The sequence below is a fragment of the Homo sapiens genome, chromosome 4 (genome assembly GCF_000001405.40).
Source record: "Homo sapiens chromosome 4, GRCh38.p14 Primary Assembly".
Lineage (NCBI taxonomy): Eukaryota > Metazoa > Chordata > Mammalia > Primates > Hominidae > Homo > Homo sapiens.
The window spans coordinates 75,056,853-75,080,809 of record NC_000004.12 but is presented as its reverse complement, the minus strand read 5'-3'; the positions used below and the strand labels follow the sequence as shown (position 1 = coordinate 75,080,809).

The 23,957-nt window shown below is 41.4% G+C and overlaps 1 long non-coding RNA gene across 1 annotated transcript in view; it reads left to right on the top strand.

Moving 5' to 3' along the window:
* The first annotated feature begins 6,566 nt into the window (after window positions 1-6,566).
* The window catches only part of LOC107986289 (uncharacterized), a 37,189-nt gene continuing 19,798 nt past the window's right edge, over window positions 6,567-23,957 (top strand). Inside the window, exon 1 of the long non-coding RNA XR_001741728.2 lies at window positions 6,567-6,862. This is a non-coding gene — a long non-coding RNA (uncharacterized LOC107986289). The remainder of the gene's footprint in view (window positions 6,863-23,957) is intronic.

Genomic DNA, 23,957 nt, shown 5'->3' with positions numbered 1-23,957 from the left:
GTCTGTATGTCTAACAAGCTCCCAGGTGATGCAGCTGTTCTTCAGACTGCATATTGACTAACAAGGCTCTAAGAGACAGATTCTAGCCAAGGGAGAATGGAAAATTCACTGTGTCACTTGTTAATGACCTTCCAATCTTCTAAGAATCTGTAGCTCACAGAATGGCTGGTAGCACCCACCAGGATCTGGGACATTCAGCCTGAGAAATAAAAAACTCATCAGGATCTGTGAAAGACATGAAGACAGAAATAGTACTAGAAGAAAGAAAATGCTTAGAAGTCATATGCAGGTAGGGGAAAAGGTACTTATTAATCTCTGACACTGATCAAAGAGCATTACCATTTTAAAGAAGGATGTATTAGTACTCATAAAACTTATCATTGGACTTCTTAGCAATAAAGAACTTGGCTTGAGAGGTCATTCCAAGATGGTCGAATAGGAACAGCTCCCATCTGCAGCTCCCAGCGTGATCGATGCAGAAAACGGGTAATTTCTTCATTTCCAACTGAGGTACCTGGTTCATCTCATTGGGACTGGTTGGACACTGGGTGCAGCCCACGGAGAGTGAGCCAAAGCAGGGCGGGGCTTTGCCTTACCAGGGAAGTGCAGGGGTCAGGGGATTTACCTTTCCTAGCCAAGGGAAGCCATGACAGACTATGTGGAAAAACGGGACACTCCTACCCAAATACTATGCTTTTCCCAAGGTCTTAGCAACTGGCAGACAAGGTGATTGTCTCCCCAGCCCATGCCTGGCTTGGCAGCTCCCACACCCATGGAGCCTTCCTCACTGCTAGTGCAGCAGTCTGAGATCGATCTGTGAGATGGCAGCCTGGCTGGGGGAGGGGTGTCCACCATTGCTGAGGCTTAAGTAGGTAAACAAAGCGGCCCAGAAGCTGGAACTGGGTGTAGCCAACCACAGCTCAATAAGGCCTACTGCCTCTAGACTCCACTTCTGTGTGCAGGGCATAGCTGAACAAAAGGCAGCAGACAACTTCTGCAGACTTAAACGTCCTTGTCTGACAGCTCCGAAGAGAGCAGTGGTTCTCCCAGCATGGCATTTGAGCTCTGAGAACAGACAGACTGACTCCTCATGTGGGTCCCTGACCCCTGTGCAGCCCAACTGGGAGACACCTCCCAGTAGGGGCCGACAGACACCTTATATATGTGGCTGCCCCTGTGGGACAAAGCATCCAGAGGAAGGATCAGGCAGCAACATTTGCTGATCCGCAATGTTTGCTGTTCTGCAGCTTCCACTGGTGATACCCAGGCAAACAGGGTCTGGAGTAGAACTCCAGGAAACTCCAACAGACTGGCAGCTGAGGGACCTGACTGTTAGAAGGAAAACTAACAAACAGAAAGGAATAGCATAAAATCAACCAAAAGGTCATCTACACCAAAACCCCATCTGTAGGTCACCAACATCAAAGACCAAAGGTAGATAAAACCACAAAGATGGGGAGAAACCAGAGCAGAAAACCTGAAAATTCTAAAAATCAGAGCACCTCTTCTCCTCCAAAGGATCGCAGGTCCTCACCAGCAGCGGAACAAAGCTGGATAGAGAATGACTTTGACAAGTTGACAGAAGTAGGCATCAGCAGGTCAGTAATAACAAACTTCTTCGAGCTAAAGGAGGATGTTTGAACCCGTGGCAAGGAAGCTAAAAACCTTGAAAAATGATTACACTTATGGCTAACTAGAATAAACAGTGTAGAGAAGACATTAAATGACCTGATGGAGCTGCAAACCATGGCAGGAGAACTTTGTGATGCATGCACAAGCTTCAATAGCTGATTTGATTAAGTGGAAGAAAGGGTATCAATGATGGAGGATCAAATTAATGAAATAAAGTGAGGAGACAAGGTTAGAGAAAAAGGAGTAAAAAGAAACAAACAAAGCCTCCAAGAAACATGGGACTATATGAAAAGGCCAAATCTAGTTTGATTGGTGTACCTGAAAGTGATGGAGAGAATGGAACCAAGTTGGAAAACACTCTTCAAAATATTATCCAGGAGAACTTCCCCAACATAGCAAGGCAGGCCAACATTCAAATTCAGGAAATACAGAGAACACCACAAAGATACTCCTTGAGAAGATCAACCCCAAGACACATACTTGTCAGATTCACTAAGGTTGAAATGAAGGAAAAAGTGTTAAGGGCAGCCAGAGAGAAAGGTCGAGTTACCCACAAAGGGAAGCCCATCAGACTAACAGCAGATCTCTTGGCAGAAATCCTACAAACCATAAGAGAGTGGAGGCCAATATTCAACATTCTTAAAGAAAAGAATTTTCAACCCAGAATCTCATATCCAGCCAAACTAAGCATCATAAGTAAAGGAAAAGTAAAATCCTTTGCAGACAAGCAAATGCTGAGAGATTTTGTCACCACCAGGCCTGCCTTACAAGAGCTTCTGAAGGAAGCACTAAACATGGAAAGAAACAATAGGTCCCAGTCAATGCAAAAACATGCCAAATTGTAAAGACTATTGATGCTATGAAGAAACTGCATCAATTAATGGGCAAAATAACAAGTGAACATCATAATGACAGGTTCAAATTCACACATAATAATATTAACTTTACATGTAAATTGACTACATGCCCCAGTTAAAAGACACAGACTGACAAATTGGATGAAAAGTCAAGACTCATCAGTGCGATGCATTCAGGAGACCCATCTCATGTGCAAAGACGCACATAGGCTCAAAATAAAGGGATGGAGGAAGATCTACCAAGCAAATGGAAAGCAAAGAAAAGCAGGGGTTGCAATCCTAGTCTCTGATAAAACAGACTTTAAACCAACAAATATCAAAAGAGACAAAGAAGGACATTACATAATGATAAAGGGATCAGTTCAACAAGAAGAGCTAACTATCCTAAATATCTATGCACTCAACACAGGAGCACCCAGATTAGTAAAGCAAGTCCTTAGAGACCTACAAAGGCTCTTAGACACACACATAATAATAATGAGAGACTTTAATATTCCACTGTCAATATTAGACAGATCAAAGAGACAGAAGGTTAACAAGGATATCCAGGAATTGAACTCAGCTCTGCACCAAGCAGACCTAATAGACATCTACAGAACTCTCCACCCCAAATCAACAGAATATACATTCTTCTCAACACCACATCACACTTATTCTAAAATTGACCACATAGTTGGAAGTAAAGCACTCCTCAGCAAGTGTAAAAGAACAGAAAGAACAACAAACTGTCTCTCAGACCACAGTGCAATCAAATTAGAACTCAGGATTAAGAAACCCACTCAAAACCACACAACTACATGGAAACTGAACAACCTGCTCCTGAATGACTACTGGGTAAATAACAAAATGAAGGCAGAAGTAAAGATATTCTTTGAAACCAATGACAACAAAGACACAAAGTACCAGAATCTCTGGACACATTTAAAGCAGTGTGTAGAGGGAGTTTTATAGCACTAAATGCCTACAAGAGAAAGCAGGAAAGATCTAAAATTGACACCCTTACATCACAATTAAAATAACTGGAAGAAAGAGCAAACAAATTCAAAAGCTAACAGAAGGCAAGAAATAACTAAGATCAGAGCAGAACTGAAAGAGATAGAGACACCAAAAACCCTTCAAAAAATCAATGAATCCAGGAGCTGGTTTTTTGAAAAGATCAACACAATTGATAGACTGCTAGCAAGACTAATAAAGAAGAAAAGAGAGAAGAATCAAATAAACGCAATAATAAATGATAAAGGGGATATCACCACCGATCCCACAGAAATACAATCTACCATGAGAGAGTACTATAAACACCTCTACTCAAATAAACTAGAAAATCTAGAAGAAATGGATAAATTCCTGGACACATACACCCTCCCAAGACTAAACCAGGAAGAGGGTGAATCTCTGAATAGACCAATAACAGGCTCTGAAATTGAGGCAATAATTAATAGCCTGCCACCGAAAAAAGTCCAGGACCAGACAGATTCACAGCCGAATTCTACCAGAGGTACAAAGAGGAGCTGGTACGATTCCTTCTGAAACTATTCCAATCAATAGCAAAAGAGGGAAACCCTTCTAACTCATTTTATGAGGCCAACATCATCCTGATACCAAAGGCTGGTAGAGACACAATAAAAAAAGAGAACTTTAGACCAATATCCCTGATGAACATTGATGTGAGATTCCTCAGTAAAATACTACCAAACCGAATCCAGCAGCACATCAAAAAGCTTATCCACCATGATCAAATCAGGTTCATCCCTAGGATGCAAGGCTGGTTCGACATACACAAATCAATAAAGGTAATCCATAAACAGGACCAAAGACAAAAACCACATGATTATCTCAATAGGTGCAGAAAAGGCCTTTGACAAAATTCAACAGCCCTTCATGCTAAAAACTCTCAATAAGTTAGGTATTCATACAATATATCTCAAAATAATAAGAGCTATTCATGACAAACCCACAGCCAATTTCATACTGATTGGGCAAAATCTGGAAGCATTCCCTTTGAAAACTGGCACAAGACAAAGATGCCTTCTCTCACCACTCCTATTCAGCATAGTGTTGGAAGTTCTGGCCAGGGCAATCAGGCAAGAGAAAGAAATAAAGGATATTCAATTAGGAAATGAGGAAGTCAAATTGTCCCTGTTTGCAGATGACATGATTGTTTATTTAGAAAACCCCATTGTCTCAGCCCCGAATCTCCTTAAGCTGATAAGCAACTTCAGCAAAGTCTCAGGATACAAAATCCATGTGCAAAAATCACAAGCATTGCTATACACCAATAACAGACAAACAGAGAGCCAAATCATGAGTGAACTCCTATTCACAATTGCTACAAAGAGAATAAAATACCTAGGAATCCAACTTACAAGGGATGTCAAGGACCTCTTCAAGGAGATCTGCAAACCACTGCTCAAGGAAATAAAAGGACACAAACAAATGGAAGAATATTCCATGCTCATGGATAGGAAGAATCAGTATCGTGAAAATGGCCATACTGCCCAAGGTAATTTATAGATTCAATGCCATCCCCATCAAGCTACCAATGACTTTCTTCACAGATTTGGAAAAAACTACTTTAAATTTCATATGGAACCAAAAAAGAACCCACATTACCAAGACAATCATAAGGAAAAAGAACAAAACTGGAGGCATAATGCTACCTGACTTCAAACTATACTATAATGCTACAGTAACCAAAACAACATGGTACTGGTACCAAAACAGATATATAGACCAATGGGACAGAACATAGGTCTCAGAAATAATGCCACACATCTACAACCATCTGATCTTTGATGAACCTGACAAAAATAAACAATGAGGAAAGGATTTCCTAGTTAATAAATGGTGCTGGGAAAACTGGCTAGCCATATGTAGAAAGCTGAAATTGGATCCCTTCCTTGCACCTTAGACAAAAATTAATTCAAGATGGATTAAAGACTTACGTGTTAGACCTAAAACCATAACAACTCTAGAAGAAAACCTAGGCAATACCATTCAGGACATAGGCATGGGCAAGGACTTCATGACTAAAACACCAAAAGCAATGGCAACAAAAACCAAAATTGACAAATGGGATCTAATTAAACTAAACAACTTCTGCACGGCAAAAACAAACAAACAAACAAACAAACTACCATCAGAGTGAACAGGCAACCTACAGAATGGGAGAAAATTTTTGCAATCTACCCATCTGACAAAGGGCTAATATCCAGAATCTACAAAGAACTCAAACAAATTTACAAGAAAAAACCCCATCACAAAGTGAGCGAAGGATATGAACAGACAATTTTCAAAAGAAGACACCTATGCAGCCTACAGACACAGGAAAAAATGCTCATCATCACATTCATTAGAGAAATGCACATCAAAACCACAATGAGATACAATCTCATGCCATTTAGAATGGCAATCATTAAAAAGTCAGGAAACATCAGATGCCAGAGATGATGTGGAGAAATAGGAATGCTTTTACACTGTTGGTGGGAGTATAAATTAGTTCAACCATTGTGGAAGACAGTGTGGCAATTCCTCAGGGATCTAGAACTAGAATTACAATTTGACCCAGCAATCCCATTACTGGGTATATACCCAAAGGATTATAAATCATGCTGCTATAAAGGCACATGCAGACATATGTTTATTGCAGCACTATTCACAATAGCAAAGACTTGGAACCAACCCAAATGTCCATCAATGATAGACTGGATTAAGAAAATGTGGCACATATACACCATGGAATACTATGCAGCCGTAAAAAAGGATGAGTTCATGTCCTTTGTAGGGACATCGATGAAGTTGGAAACCATCATTCTCAGCAAACCATCACAAGGACAGAAAACCAAATACCACATGTTCTCCCTCATTGGTGGGAATTGAACAATGAGATCACTTAGACACAGGGCGGGGAACATCACACTCTGGGGTTGGGGGTTGGGGGAGGGATAGCATTGGAGAAATACTTAATGTAAATGATGAGTTGATGGGTGCAGCAAACCAACATGGCAAATGTGTACCTATGTATCAAACCTGCACGTTGTGCATGTGTACCCTAGAACTTAAGGTTTAATAATAATAATAATAAGAATAATAAGAATAATGATAAAAAGAACTTGGCTTATTTCTATTAGTTTTCTAGTAAGGTTCATTGGGAAAAATATCTGTTGAATCAGAAGAAGGAGGAATTATTTAGGATTTATTTCATAGTACTCTAATAACAATCATGCCAGAATCTTCTCACTGAGAAGGACAGGAGGAAAAGGAGAGAAGTAGGAGAGGGCTGGATGAAATCAAATCTTGTTTCCTCCAGGAGGTCTGACTTCAGTGAAGATCCAAAGGCAGAGGCCCCACAGGAGTCCTTCTGCTCCCTGGAGACAGTAAGTATTAGATTGGCCTTATGCTTAGCAGACAGGCCTTAATACTAATTTCTCTTGACCTTCTCATGTGATTCGTGTCAGCTTGGCCCTCATTTGTTAAGCTTGCTTTAATTATGTGCATAATGCCTCATTATTTTTTATAAAGGAAGCAGCAAAAGAAACAATTATGCAAATGAATGAGGTGTGTTGTTCACTGAGGAGTTGTGGGCTAATTGGGCACTGGAACAAAAATACCATTGCCAAATACAGTGCTGCCAAAAAGATTCCCACCAATTCCTATTTCAGATTAAGTATATCAGTGCCTACAGGATAAATGTCCAAGAAGATAAAATGCCCTGAGAACTGAGATAGGGCCAGGATTTTCTTGCTAAGGTTGAAGGCTTATCTAAGTTGGCCAAGGTGAAGCTTCTCCTAGAAACATCTTTTTAGTTTTGTCTGTGGTTGTTGCCAAATGGGAATAATTTGTGTGTTGAACCTAGTATTGTTTCCCTTTGTCTCTCCTTTGGAAAGTCTCACTCATTTATTCATTTTGTCTATTTTAATTCAATCTAGTTAAAATCTTCACCTAGGCACTTCATGTGTGAGTTGGCTCCTTTATACCTTAACTCAGGTCACCTCTCATTGTCACCCTATCTTCACCCCACCGTGTGACCCCTAATTCTGTTTTATTAGATCAGGTCAGGAATAGATGTCCTATGCTTCCACGTTACCCTGTGTTTTTCTCTCAGGACTCAGGACATCTGTATTTAAATTCATTGCTGTTGTAAAATGACCTAAGCCACCTTGGTTGTTTGCAATTATCATGTTTTCTCCAGAACGCATAACCAGCGGGGATATTACACTGAAGGAAAGTTTCAAAACAGATTCTTCACAACAAATACCAAGCAGGCATAAAAACTGTCACACAGCTTGTTCTGTTGGCACAGTGAAATCCTCGCTTTCTTTTTTCTTTTTTCTTTCTTTTTTATTTTTTTGAGATGTCTCGCTCTGTCGCCCAGGCTGGAGTGCAGTGGCATGATCTCGGCTCACTGCAAGGTCTCCCTTCAGGGTTCACGCCATTCTCCTACCTCAGCCTCCCAAGTAGCTGGGACTACAGGCACCTGCCACCATACCTAGCTAATTTTTTGTATTTTTAGTAGAGACGGGGTTTCACCGCGTTAGCCAGGATGGTCTCCATCTCCTGACCTCATGATCCACCCGCCTCAGCCTCCCAAAGTGCTGGGAGCTGTCTTTTTAGTCTTTTTAAGCACCCAAACTAACCCCTAATTAAAGAGTTCATTTGAGGCAGATGTGAAAATAATCAGTAATAAGAATCAGCTAAACTTCTAATCAGGGTCAAATACTGACTAAATGGTAGGATCCAAAGAAATACCAAGGTCTAGGGCATTATTTCAAAAGATATAAGGCTATCAGTTTTGCTAGATTTTTATATGTGTTTATTGCAAGGTTGGGAGTGCCTATAGAATATTTCTGGTCATTCCATACAACTGGCAGATCTTTCATTTGACCAAAGAAAAATCATCTATAATATCCATTGTACTAAGTAACAAACCTGCTGTTGATCAGATATTAAGGTAACTAGCTTTCTGATAGCTGCCTCCTGAGTGTGGATTTTGATTAGTGTTTCAAATGCTAACTAATCATCCTGGAGATTTTCGATTAGGCTAGTTCAGATATTAATCAACCACCTCTAAGATATAAATTAAAATGCCCACTTATTGATAAACACAGTCTATGAAGTATTTAAAGTTACTTGCAGACAACGTAGCAGTTGTTAAACTTGGAAGTTATTGTCTGACTTACTTGCTGAAATGCAAGCCCCATGGAGCGGAGATTTATTCACATCACATACCCAGATTCTGCATGGTTCCAGACCTGGAGCAGGTGACCAAGAAATGTTTTTGGAATAAACGGGGATCATCTGACATCCTCACTTCTTTGCTTCTCAATTCTCCCTTTGTTTCTCATTTTCTTCTAACACTCTTCTTTCTTTTTTTCTCTGTCTCTCTTGTGATTCCCCTCCACCCCTTTTTTTATTTGTGTGGGAAACTCATGTGGTTTTTAAACAATTGTGGCCATATATTCTGCTGTTGAAGAATTAGGATGTTTGAAGATTTGCTTTATCTTGATTGGGTCACTTGGAGGCTTCATACTTTGTGTTTTTGTCTGTAAAAGAAGGATAGCAGTAGTGCCTATCTGGAGGCTGTGAGAATTTGTGGATTGTGCTTAGCATGCTTAATTCTTCTTCTCCCTCACTCTTCTGATTTAGCCCTAGACCTGCTTTACTAATAACCTGATTACTTGAATTTCCTTAGCCATGATGTCATTCATTTATTTCTCCCTTGGTCTTGCGAGTGTGCCAACGCAGTGTTTTCTTTGTTGGGTGTGTATATATAATGTAAAGTAGGTGGGCAGGGGCTAGCAGGCCAAGGAGAATGCTTTGCTGCACTTATCCTCTTCTAGCTGTGTTCTCTTAGACAAGCCAGTTAATCTCTTTCAGCTTTTGTTTTCCTATCTGTAAGAGGAGGTTATGACGTCAACCTCACATAGAGATCATAAGAATAAAATGAGATTAGTGTATGTGGAAGACATTCGGCCCAGATCAATGTTCAACAAATGTTAATGGAATGAAATAATCCTTTTTAGCCAATTGCCACATCAAGAGTTTAGCCAGGAAGCTGATCTTTCTGAGCTATGGATATGAGATTTATTATAGGAATGAGATCCTATACAATTGTGGGAGGGTGGGGGAAGTGAAATGAAGGGTGACTGGGGGATCAAAGAAGACATAAATCTGAAAGCCAGGCACATCCAGCCACCAAAGTGAGACCAAGGGAGAGCTGATGGAGAAGTCTGTGGGGGCAACTATTGCCTGTTTGGATCCACAGCCATGTTTGTTAATGGACCTGGGATCTCTTAAACACCAGAGGGAATGGTCAGGAAGAAAAGCTCGACCTTGAGTGGAGGAGGGTGACAATAATGTGGACCCCTCTGGCACATGCATCTGTCTGACACCGCATCCAAGGATGATGTTCAGAGAATAATGGCTACTGTTTCATTTCCATCATCCAAATCTATGCAAATTACACTGTTGACCAATATAACTCTGTATAATATACAGCATAGGTATAAGCATTCTAGGAAACGTAGTTTCAGCTTTTCCAAGTTGACACAGAACAGACCACCATACCAATATTTTCCAGTTTAGAGTTAACTTCTTTCGGCTTTGATTTAAACTACTCCCCATCCCCACTAAGGAATTCTGAAGATTACCCTTTAACTATGACTTAAGTTTATGGAGTTATATGAAGTATTGGTCTAAAGAGGCTCAGGATCCCTACTTCACACTTAAAATGCAATCTCACATAAGGGAAGGATTTTAATGTAATTATATATTAGTTTCCTTACAAATAAGAAAGGGAGTTTTATTGATTATAATTTGGGTTTAAATTTCAAATATACAGTATTACTTGTCAGGTCCTTTATGGTTTATTCATTGGTTTATTATTTGTCTTCTCCCATTAGATTTAAAGTTTTCTGATAATAGAAACATTGTCTCTCTTGCCATCTTTTCTGGGAGCCCCTTGGGACTCTGGCATGAGAGGTCTGGACTCCTTTGAACCTGTGTCTCTGTATCTCTGGTGGACCCAGAGCATCCATGGGTAAAAAACTGAAGTAACGAGTACCATCTTCTACTTGTTGAGGAGAAATTAAGTGTTATGGTTCTTGGTTTTTTACGGTTTGTTCCTTACATTTTTCTTAATAAAATTTGCTTCCTTACTTGAGGCTAATAGCACAACTGTGACACTGATTACTTCAATATTTTAGTGTAGGTTAAAAGCATTAATCTTCTGCCTTGTTAAGTATGTGGGAAGGAAAGAGGAAGGAGACGCTGACATTGCTCTCAAAGAATTTAAAATCTAGCGGGTTTCGGAAAAGGGGAGAGTACAATAGTAAGATGACTTTGGTCTCTGGAGGAGAATGTGGCCAGTTCTTGGGGAGGTGAGAACAAAAATCATGAGAAGAAAACTAGAGGGGATGCCCTCAGTGGTCAGCCTTCTAAGAGTTCATTAAGCAGAGAAAGTGGGCAGTGTATGTTTATTCCCAATAGAGGAAACTCGAGATCTGAGGGCTGAATTAATCTTTTAACAGTTCTGGTTGAGTGAACTGAGAAGCTTAGTTCTTATTTTAACAAACTGAAACCTAACAAGAATAGATAGAGGAGAAGATAGCAACCAAAATGGAATGTCTGTGATAGCAAACAGGTAAATCGCTAAGGTGGTGAGGTCTATTTTTAGCGTCTCCATTGATCCCCTGGGGACCCTCTCACCCCTTTGCACCCAGGCACATGGGACCTTTTGCTGTCTGTGGTTGCTCCGCCCACTTTCATGCTACACCATGGCTCAGCAGGACTCTTTCTCCCATTGAACCTTACCTGCTGTCTTAGTCAGTTCAGACTACTACACAAAATACCATAGACCAGATGGCTTATAATCAACAGAAATTTATTTTTCATAGTTCTGAAGGCTGAGAAGTTTCAGGTCAAGGCACTGGCAAGTTTGGTGTCTGGTGTGGGCTCACCTCCTCATAGGTGTCAGTCTTGTTTGTGTCCTCACATGGTGGAAGAAATGAAGGATCTTTCTGAGGTCTCTTTTTAAAACAGCACTAATCCCATTCCTGAGGGCTCCACCCCCATAACCTACTAACCTCCCAAAGACCCCACCTCCTAATAGTACCACCTTGCAGGTGAGAATTTCAACACAGGAATTTGGGAAAGACACAAACATTTAGATTATACTTCCTATTTTCATCTTATTCTTCTGGGGCTCCTTTGTTTATTAAATTATATTTTTACCCAGACAATTACTGTCATCATTAGAGTGTCTTACATTTGTAGAGCTTCTTTAAAGTTTGCTAAGTGCTTTTAAGTATATCATGTCATTTGATCAACTTATTAAAATGAATTAATATATTAATAATTTAGTCCCCCTAGGTAACACATTGATACATTAACTACTGGAAATAGTACCATACTCCCCCAAATATCTTAGATTTGCAGAGTTCTTTATACTTGGCTAAGTGTTTCAACATCAACTGTTATTGAAAAGGCTCTAGAGTATTGAAAATTGGGCACTGGGGTAGACTGGTGGGGACTTTTGGGCCAGGGCCACCACACTGCACAACCTCAGAGAGTGCTGTTTGCACTGTGGACACTGGGAAGAGTATCTGGCAGCTGTGCAGGGTACTGTCTGTGAGTGACCAGATGCAGCAGCTTTGTTTGTGGCCTTTAATTCACCCCCCTGGTTCTGCAGCCCATGCCCAAGAAGATGGCTTAAACCTCCTAGCCGGTAATGGGTTGGGGTAGGGGTTGGGTGGAGGCGGTCCTGACCCTTATACTTTCCAAGATGGAATAACTGAAGGCCCCACAACACATCCTTCTTCCTTTAGCCCAGGGGCAGTCATAAAGCTATGCTCCACAGAATTTTTTTTTTCTGAACATTCAGAGTAAGTCTCCTTGGAGTTGGGAATAAAGCAGAGGTCAGAGATCATAAAAGTACACAAAGCACAACAAGCTTTATTTTTATTTATTTATTTATTAGACGGAGTCTCGCTCTGTCGCCAGGCTGGAGTGCACTGGCTCGATCTTGGCTCACTGCAACCTTCACCTCCCAGGTTCAAGCAATTCTCCTGCCTCAGCCTCCCGAGTAGCTGCGATTACAGGTGCGTGCCACCACGCCCAGCTAATTTTTGTAATTTTAGTAGAGACAGGGTTTCACCATATTGGCCAGGATGGTCTCGATCTCCTGACCTCATGTTCCACCCACCTCAGCCTCCCAAAATGCTGGGATTACAGGCATGAGCCATTGTGCCTGGCCAACAGGCTTTATTTTTAAAAATATGTAGTCCTCTCTCCTAGGCAGCTGTCATTTACAGCTCAGTTACTATGCTCATGTTGCCTAGGACTTGCACACAGGCTGCTGCGATCTTCAGATGAATTTGCATATGATACTCTAGTTTTAGACATAGTTTGTTTGAGTGCCAAGCACTGGATGTCAGGTACCCTTCTTTTTCTTTCTTTCTTTCTTTTTTTTTTGTGACTTAAAACAACAGAAATTAATTTTCTTACAGATCCAGAGGCCAGAGTCTCAAACCAAGATGCCAGCAAAGTTGGTTGCTCCTGTGAGCTCAAGGGAGAATCTGCTCCATGCCACTTTCCTACCGCCTTGGCAGTTTGCTGGCAATCCTTGGCTTTCCTGGACTTCTTGATGCCCCGTCTCACACAGCCTTCTCCCCTGTGTATCTGTGTTCGAATTTCCTTCTTATAAGGGCTCACACTGATCCAGTGTGACCTTACCTTAACTAATTACATCTTCAAAGATCCTATTTCCAAGTAGATTGTATTTCCATTCTGAGGCTCTGGCGGATGTAAATTTGAGGGGTACAGAAGGAAAAAGGTGTGTAGGCAAGATCTGGGGACTGCAGAAGTCTTCTCTTCTTTCCTTCTTTCCCTTCTTTTCTACCTGCTGGTGCTTACCTTGAACATGCATTTAAAAAGCAATAGAGCAGAATGGGTTAGGCTTTGGGCCCTCAGTCACAGCATCTGTATATCTCAGCACTGCCTCTCGCCGTGTGAAGTTCTACTTCTTTGCTTCTGTCTCCTCACCTACTAAATGGGGATAATGATAGTCTTCACTTCAAAGGCTTATTCTGAATATTATCTACATTAATTAATGTGGAGTGCTTAGAACAGTTCCTGGCATATGGTTTGTGCTCAATAAATGTTACCAGCTGCTGCCTATATTTTCTTTTAAATATTTTCAACTTTTAGATACAGGAGGTACATGTGCAGGTTTGTTACATTGGTATATTGGGTGATGCTGATGTTTGGGATATGAATCCAGTCACCCAGATAGTGAACATAGTACCAAATAGGCAGTTTCAACTCCTTTCTCTCCATCCCTCCCCCTCCAGTAGTCCCTGATGTCTATTGTTCCCATCTTTATGTCCCTGTGTATTCAATGTTTTGCTCCCACCTATAAGCAGGAACATGCGGTATTTGGTTTTCTGTTCCTGTGTTAATTTGCTTAGGATTACAGTCTCCAGCTACATCCATGTTGCTGATATACATGATTTCATCCTTTTAATGGCTGTGTAGTATTCCATGGTGTATATGTACCACATTTTCTTTATCCAATCCTCAGTTGATGGTCACCTAGGTTGTTTTAATGTCCTTGCTGTTGTGAATAGTGCTGCGATGAGCATTCGAGTGCTTGTATCTTTTTGGTAGAATGATTTATATTCCTTTGGGTATATGCCCAATAATGGGATTGCTGGGTCAGATAAAAAGGTAGTTCTTTTTTAAGCTCTTTGAGAAATCTCCAAAATGCTTTCCACAGTGGCTGAACCAACTTACATTCCCACCAGCAGTGCATAAGAATACCCTTTTCTTCACAGCTTTGCCAGCATCTATTACCAGGGCCTCTTCTTATCAATCTTTCACATCAAAATGGTGTTTTCAGAACTTCCTGGTTCTTCTGCTATAAACTCACTGTGACGTTTCTGCTTCAGAGGCCCAGGAGCTCTGCAAGGACTCCTGAGACCTTTGGTTGTCCTAGCAGTTTATCAAGACGTCATCAGAAAGTGTGATGATTTTACAGGAAACAGCAATGACCATTTTCTCTATATTTATTTCACATATTTGCAATACAAGATTAATTATAGGCTTTGGAGAAATTCTGTTACATTCTTAACAAACAAAAATGTTCTAAAAGTGTTGCTTCTGTCAAAACACCATGTGGGTCAGCTATTTCTGCTGACATCTGGTTCATCTTCATTACCATGTTCATGTTAGGTTTGAATTTCAAAGAGTTTGGAATTACTTCACCAGACACACACAGATTTTGTCTCAGGCCCCATAAGGAACCAGAATAGATGAAAAAATCAAGGTTTCTTTAAACATTTAGGCATTCCCCCTTTCCCAATCTCAATTTGCCATGTAAGGAATGCTGGAGCAGGTGACATTTTCTTCAGATCTTGGTGGGAAACATGGAGAGCCACAGAGATAACACAATACATTTGAGCAGCTCTGCAGGGCTTAGGGCAAATGAATGTACAAGTAGCCGAGGCTCCTCACAAACTCTTACATGAAAGCTGCCTGTAAAGCCACTTTGTTTGAGGATGGTTTTGAAAGTCAGAAGGAAGTAGGGTCTGTGGGGTGTGGGAGTCTAACCCTCCAGTCCTCACTGTCATTTCCTCAGCCAGATGGCCATTCTACCTTCCTCTATCTGTCCACAACTGTTTTCTCTGAACTTTAACCCCAAAGTCAATTCATGCCAAAACTTAAGAAATGGGTATTACCTGATATTACTGATTTAAAAATATATGGATGTTATCTTAGTGCCCCAATTTATGCCTAACATCTTAATCAATGTCATTCATACTTCATGCTTGACACATTTGAACCCTCACATCAGTTACTCTTTGCTTTACAGTTGTGACATTCACAAGCTCTTCATCCAGAGAAACTAAACCATCTCTAGTTGCACCTAAACTGGAGATGAGGTTTTCACAATTTTGCAGAGAAAATCTGACAAGTTGAGTAATTTTTCTCAGCTCCTCTCTAGCATTGTGTTTTACCATTGGTGTTGTTATTTATATTTGTTATTTGTTATTTTGGTTGTTGCATGATATCCTGATGTTGTCAAAGTGACTCAAAGCCTTAAAAGGGTTTATTGATGTATAAACATAATTATAATAATAGGCACTGTGAAATTCCATGAACTGGGACAAGTAACTCCATGGGAATAATGATTTTACACAAGAAAAAATATATTATTAGAAAGCATAACAATAAATACCTGAATTTGAGTGTTACTGGACTGACAATTTAATTTTCCCTTATAGTGTATTGTCCTTTGGAAAAAATGGCATGGAGTCATTGTACTCTTTTTCAAACAAAGTTTAATAATACACTCATTGGGGATAATTTCAGCTGCATATAAGAAATAACTCCAAAATAACAATGACTTGAGATTCATTTCTCTTTCTCGAAGAAGTCTGGGGTTAGGCAGTCTGGGGTTGGTATAGTGGCACCATGGTGTCATCAGAACCCAGGCTCTTTACTCTTTGTTCCACCTTCTTAGTGTATGGCTTCTTTCTTACCTTTAATTCATCATCAAAGATGGCTGCTGGAGTTCCAGGCAACACACTCTTACTGTAGCCAGCAGGAAGAAGTAAGAATGGGTGCACCCATTCTCCTTCAAGAAGGCTTCCTGTAAGTCCTAACATAAACACATCTATTTATATCTCATACCAGGATGTAGTCACATAACAATCCTAGCTGTAAGGAAGGTGGGCTGGTAGTCTTCCATCTGAGCATCACAGTGTCCATCCTAAATTTGAGGTTCTGATACTAAGGAGGAAGGGGAATATGGGCATTTTACAGTCAACTAACAGTTTCTTCCACAAATGACCTCCACAGCAAACTAATTTGTTTCCCAAGGAAAAGCACAAAATGATGATTTCTAGTACAATACCAATAAATTATATTGCTAAAGGTGAAGAGACCAAAATGGAAGAATAAAGTAGTATTGCTTATGACAAAAAATTAGTACTTATTACACAAATCACAAGAATCTTATAAAATTGGTCACAAAGTTAATGATAAATATGTTTGAAGACTATTGGTAAAATTCCTTTATGAATTGGCTCCATTGTGCATTGCTCAGCATCAATGAAATGTAATGTGAAGAAGCAACTATTATCATGATAGCATAATAATGGTAAATATTTTACTTGGCAGTTGTATAAAACCACAGAGATTCAGAGTTTTAAATTAGCCCCTGACATTTGTCAAGTTATATATGAAGGAAAATTGCTTGATTTTTTTTTGTGTTATCTATTCCTGAAAACCCATGATATAGGAGATTTGTGTTCTTTTAGTTAGGAATAACTTTGTAAATCATGATGTATATAGGAAACATACATGGAGATTAGTACTGAAGAAGAACCAGACATGTTTATATCAGGTCAAAGAGATTCCACTGAAATGTGAAATCACTCACTGTTTTATTTACATGGGATAGTTGGTGGTCAAGCAGGCCATAGGTCTTAATTTTAGAGGGAATAGTGAAAGTTGTAAATATACATAGTGGTTACCTAGTGTTTTATGTTCAACGCATTATTCAAAAAGTTGGGCAGCAAGTGAAATCTACTGATGGAAGGCAGAACACAGATAGCCTGAGGCGTGTGATGGTGGTGCAGTTGCTGAACATTTTAATGATGGTGAACTAGATGATATGCAGCCAACACCCTGACTTTGGCCTTGTGAGATCTTAAACAGAGAACCCAGTTGAGCCTGCCTGGACTTCTGACCTACAGAACTGGGAAGTAGGATATGCGTGTTGTTTTAAGCTGCTAAGTTTGTGGTAATTCTTTGTGTAACAACAGAAAATTTAACACAAGATGTTCTAGAGGGTGAGAGATAAACACTAAGAAAATTCAGGGGCTCACAAGATTAATGAGATTTTTGGCCTAATAGTCTGAGGCACCCTGAATATTCTCTCCAAAGTTAGGGGAATATTATTGAATCTTATGCTTCCCATTACCAGGGAGGAACACAATGCCTGGCAGGCATCTTTGATTTATAGAGGCAGCATATTATGCACCTAAGAATATTGCTTCAACCCATATACTGGGTGACACATAAGACTTCCAACTTTGTGTGGGGCTCAGGACAGAAAAGGATCCGCAGTAAGTATAGGCTGTGAGACCCCTTCTGCACTGGATTTGACACCTATTCCAGATATGGGTTTGCCTTTTCTGTCTGCAGGGCTTCATCCAGTGCCATTAACCAAGGGCTGAGAGAGAGTTTGAGCTATAGCATGGGATCCCACATAAAACTGCAATGGGCCAAGATGCCCATTATATAGCAAAGGAGGTGCGGCAGGGGCACATGGCCATGGTATCCACTGGTCCTATCAAATACCCCACCACCTAGAGGCTACTGGACTGAGTAAAGCAGTCTGTCAAAGGCCCAGCTGACATACTATCTGGGAAAGGATGTCTTGTGCAGATGGGACACCATCCTCTAGGATGTAGTATACACCCTAAATCCATACACATATCATGTTACACATATAGTGTTTTCAAAACATAGAATATATAGATCTGGAAAGCAAGAGGTGAAAGTAGCAGTGACCCTGTTACAGTCAGCCCTAGTGGCCCCCTTAGGGAAATTGTGTGCTTCCCTTCTCTGCAACTCTGGGTTCTGACATTTTAGTGGCCTTGGTTTTTAGAGGGTAAATCGTTTCACCAAGGAACACAGAAAGATATTTTTAAGGTAAGAACTGCTGCTCAGTTACTTCAAAGACCTTGTCCCAAGAGACCAGTAGGCAAAGAAAGTAATTGCCATACTGGCAGGAATAATTGACCCTGACCATCAGCTGCTGCTGAGCAATATAGGAGCAGAGAATGATATATTTGGCACTCAGGTGATCCACTTAGTTTGCTCTTGGCAACCCTTCGCCCAGTTTTGATGGTAAATGAACAAACACAGCCATCATGCCCTAAGAAGGTCATGGTGACCAGTGAGTTGACAATGGCGACCCTAGGAGTCTATCACATCAGCAGCCTAGCTGCCTATACCAGCAGAGATGCTAGTTGAGGGAAAAGAGACTCCAGCATTGGCGGTGGAGGACAGGGAAGATGACTGTCTGTTACTTCCTTGAGATAGCTGCAGTGACAGGAATGGTAGTTTCTCGCATTAACCTTTCTCTTGTAAGAGTCCCCCAGAATACTGGAGTTTTCCCAGAATTTATTACATGAAACAAGTGGAACTAAATGGTGCCAAAGTTGTCTACAGTGGAGGTCATGGTGTGCCACCCAGATCCCCTTCCAGGTCTGTTTGTTAATCCCCCCAGCTGGCAGGAGGGTTGGTGGCAGATAGTCTCAGCTGAACTTCCTTTCTGGGACTTGCTATGGAGTGGAGAGAGCTGTCTTGCCTGAATTTATGTCCCCGTGGGGTGAGGAGACATGTGAACCTGTAATACTCATCAACTTAAGACAAAGCTGAAGGGGCACCTCAGACTCAGAGGTCCTCACAGGATTGGCTGAGACCTTTGCTGCAACTGTACTGCAGTTCCAGCTTGCCCTCTGCCCAATCCTGCTTCTTTCTCTCCCTTTCAGGTGCTGATCCCAAATTCACTTTCCAATAAGCCTCCTGCACACAGATCTCCGTTTTGGAGAATGATCCTCAGGTTTCTGATCTGTGAGAGGTTTTTGCCAACTTATATTCCACTAGAAAAAATAATCATTTTATTAAAGCATGTCTGGCATTGGATACCTTGATTTTTAAAGTTGGAAATGTGTTTTTTGTTGTCTAATTTTACTATGCAAAAATGGTATATCAGTTTTATTTAGAATTTAAAAAATTACTACCAAGGTTGAAAATATTCTTACATATTCATTTACTAGTTATACTTTTTCTCTCATAAAATGTCTGCAGGCATGAATATTTCTGGACCTGGCCTTTTAATGTCATCCATACCAATAACTGTTTCTTTTCCACCTTTCCTACTTCTTTTATGTGGTGCACAGCAGAGGATTTTGAAGCATGCTGATCTTGTTTACTGTCAGGGTTTAAGACACTATTCTATTCTTCAATCTCCCAAATTCCTAGAAAGGCCTATTAATAAAATTGGGTAGAATATTGGGTTGAAAATATGCTAAATGTAAATAGGTTTTTTATTAAAGAGCAATAAACATACTTCATTACTCCTTTTGCTTGTTTAAGCTTTTTGAGCTTGTGACTTCAACTTTTCCAAGGCTGGGCTATTTACTCTGGATGTAGGATTACATATTTCAGGACTAAATGTGCAGACATAACACTCAGTATTCATGACCCTGTATTGGGACCCTCTTCAGACTGACAAAAAACTTCAGTCTTCTTTTGACTTCTTAGAAAAGATTACACAGACTTAAGGATATTTGGAAGTCTTTTCAAAAGTCAGAAACACTTTTATATCACTCCAAACTACTGCTGACATTTAAAAACTTGATTATGCAAAGAACTTCATCTCTAGGACATGGAATTACCAAATAACTCAATTGAGACCAGAATTTTTTCCTAGCTCTAAGAGAAGTGATGTTAGTAGGATTAGTTAACAGGCCAGAGTACTCATTTTGAGCAAAGACATCATATGTAATTAATGGTATATTTGGAAACAGGCACCACTTGACTTAGGATGGCTTAACTTGAGAACTTTCATCTTTATAGGCTTATCAAGAACAAATTTTTATTTATGATTACCTAACAGCTGAAACTGATGTGCTCTCAGAATAAAGTCAATGCAAATAATTAGTGATAAGACAATGTGATGTGCTAATTTGAGAGGTGGAAAAATTGTGATGATATGGATTCATGATTGGCTAAAGAACATGCCCTTCAACTAAGCTATAAATTTCGGCAAGGGCAGTAATTATCTCTTTTTAAAACTCTTACATACAGAGCTTGTGAAAACATCACAAAAACATGGTAAATGGAGTGAAAGATGCTTTGAACATTCCAAAAGAGAACTGATTGTCAAATTATCAGATTTTAGGGCAAGCTGAAAGGGTTGATATAGAGAAGTTAGCTGAAGTCTTTGCAAATGAAAGCTACTGTTCAAGATGGGTGCTTAATTTTTGAAAAGGAAACAGGAGATCTCTGTAAGAGAAGTCACCTGGAAAACTCCTCCCTTAGAAATGACCATTCATCTTCACTGGCTTATCAGTGGAAAATTTTGCCCCAGACAATCCAAATATTGAACATTTTTAGGTCCCTGGAGCAAAGAGAATTGCTGATTCTGACTACTTAGAAACCTACCAGGAAAAGAAGGCCTCTTTAGTCCACTGGGCTTTCATTTTCAGGAGCTAAACAATTAGCCTATATCCTCCCTCATCACAGACATTTTCAAATGTAGATTTATATCATGTGTTTGGTTTTACATACTAAATATATTTTTATCAAAGTGTGTACACAAAGTGTGGGGGTTTTTCTTTTCATGATTATTTGGCGTTTTAATTAAGCGAAATGGGTTTTTAGGAACAAAACTCAAATTTATAAAACTTCAACTAATTTAGCTGTCATCCAGAAACTTTATTGTAAATAATTTGTCAACAAGATTTGCATTTCTAATTTCAGTTTTTCATTCCTTCTGAGGCACAGAGAAAGGAAAAGAAAAATGACAGCTAATGTTTGTTGAGCACTATACACAAAGGATCTTATTTAGTCCTTATAAACAACACTGCCAAATAAGACTTAACATCTGTAGTTTTTTAGGTGAGGAATTAGAAGCTATGGGAGACTGAATTATGTGCCCAAAGTCATTAAAGCCAGTAACTGGCAGAACTGAGACTTAATTGCAGGTTTATGTTCACATGCCAATTTGCCAATAATCTATCCAACAAGAAGATAAAGATGTGGCATGAAGTTATTAGCTTGAAAGTAAACATTGTGAGTCCAGGCTGGGCGCGGTGGCTCACGCCTGTAATCCCAGCAATTTGGGAGGCCGAGGCGGGTGGATTACCGGAGGTCAGGAATTTGCGACCAACCTGACCAACATGGTGAAACCCCGTCTCTACTAAAAATACAAAAAAATTAGACGGGCGTGGTGGTGGGCGCCTGTAATCCCAGCTACTCGTGCGGCTGAGGCAGGAGAATCGCTGTAACTGGGAGGCGGAGGTTGCGGTGAGCCGAGATGGAGCCACTGCACTCCAGCCTGGGGGACAGAATGAGACTCCGTCTCAAAACAAACAAACAAAAAACATTGTGAGTTTTACTTTGTTTTATCCTACAATACGCCTAGTTTAGGGCTGGGTACATAATAGACGAGCAATTGGAAGGTGAGGAGATGGATAAAGCATGGACTTGGGAACTATAGCACTCAGGCTCCAGAGTCAAACCTTTGGGCTGAAATCATCCTTGATTCACCACTAACCAAATAGGTTACCTTGGGTGAGTAACTTTTACTTCCTAGTTGTGCCTCAGTTTCCTCACATGGTAATGTCACAGGATCCTTGGGGTGTTGTTTTGCCAGCTGGAAACCTCTGTGGCTGGTGGCACCTTCTGCCTGAGCATTGCTCAGGCCTGCTGGGCTTGTTCCACCCACTCAGCCTAGTGGGCTGCGCTTGGCTTATTCTTCTGGCCCAGATCCCACACCTGCCAAGGGCGAGCTGGGCATGGAGCTGCAAAGAGTGTGCGGGTGAGTGAGTGCGTGGTCTGGCCACTGTGCACAGCCAGGCATGCTGGCTGTTGCGGCAGGGCAGGCAGCTCCAGGCGCCAGCACAGGTGTCAGCCCTGCGCAAGACTGCGGCTGGACCAGATGGACAGCATGCAGCTTCTGCTGTGGACACCTGCATCTGGACGAGGGGAATGTGTTGGTGCCTAGAAGCTTCGAGATGCCAGGAACTGCAGGGCCTCAAAGAGGATGTCACAGTCCTGACTCAGGGAGCCCCTAGGTCTGGGCTCCCTGAAGGGCCCCAGCTCTTCTCTCCTTCTTGTTGCCCACAGCGTGGTAAGGTGGCAAGGGTATTTCAGCTCTGTTTGTGTTATGGCTCTTTCAGTCCTGCCATTTGGCAGGTCCTGAGTTCTTGTCCTGCGTCCAGGAAGAAAGAGGTATGTAGACAACTGGAGGGTGAACAAAGCAGAGAGGAGCTTCATTGAGAGGCAGAACAGCTCTCAGGAGACCCACAGTGAGTAACTCCTTTCCACAGGCAGGTCGTCCCATTGAGTGTCCAGCTCTCAGTAGAGCGGGTAGCTCCTTTCCGCAGGCAGGTTGTCCCGATATCTGTTGGATGCTGGCTGAGTCCAGGGTTTTTATACGCTCAGAAGGGAGGCAGTGCTTGCTGATTGGTTCATGGACGACCATGGGTGGGCCTGGAAAAAGTATCATAAATTCTCACTCCTGGCCAGGGACTTCACCCGGAACTGTCCGGCCCCCAGGCCTCAGGTCATCCCTGGCTTGAAGATGGGGTTTCACCAGGGACCCACCCTTTTCAGCCCAGGAAACTGTCTGCCTCCTGCCATCAATAGGCCATCCATGGTGCCCAGGCTGTTCCTGCCAAAGGGTGCTGGCACGCCCCAAGCAGCCCTCAGCACTCCTTCATCCTCCCTCCCATGCTGGTTGGTGCCCAAAGTCCAGAGGGGCCTGAGGTGGCAGGGGCTAGTGTGTCAGTGCTGCCCTGAGCACGTGCACACCCAGCCAGGTTGCAGCAGTGCCTGCCTGGGCTTGGCCGCAACTTTGCGCCAGCCCGGAATGGGCACCAGGAGAGGGAGCAGGCACTTTCAAGCCTGTTGGGGGAGGGAACTTCCTGGACCCCGGAAAGCGCAGTGATGCCTCGGTCCAGAACCATGGCTGGGCGGCGCCCGGGAATGCGGGTCTCCTGTCCCACCAGCTGGATAAAGGGTGGGGCCCCCGCCTGTTCCCAGCCTTGCCAGCTCCTCCTAGCGCAGCCCCGGCCATGCCTCCCAGGCTGCAGTTAGCATCCCCACAAGGGGCTGCTCCAGACAGGCCAGTGCCGTCATTAATAAAATGGGGATAAAATACCTATCTTTTAGGGTAATTGTGAGGATTGAGTTGATCTTGGTAAAACACTTAGAATAGTATCTGGCACATAATAAGTGCTCAGTGAATATTAGCTTTTATCATTATGATTAATCAGATTCTACTACACTGTGGCTGTGTTCAACTTGAATGTCTCAGTTTCCTCATCTGTAAAATGAGGAAAATCATTTATCTTACATGGCTATTTTATTTGGCAATAATATGCTTTATTATTTCTAAATGAAATATTTTATTATGCTGTGGATCTAATGAAACAACATTTGTAAATTTGCTCTGTGCCAGGTACTATTCTAAGCATGCTGTTGGCATTGATTCATTTAACTTTCATAACAGCCTAATAAGGCAGATGCCATTCTGATCCCCATTTTACAGATGAAGAAACTGAGGAAACAAGAGGTTAAACAATTTTTTTCAGGGTCACACAACTGGTAATTAGCTCAGCCGAGATTCAAACCCCGACACAGTAGCTCCACCGTAGTCTAAGTCTATGA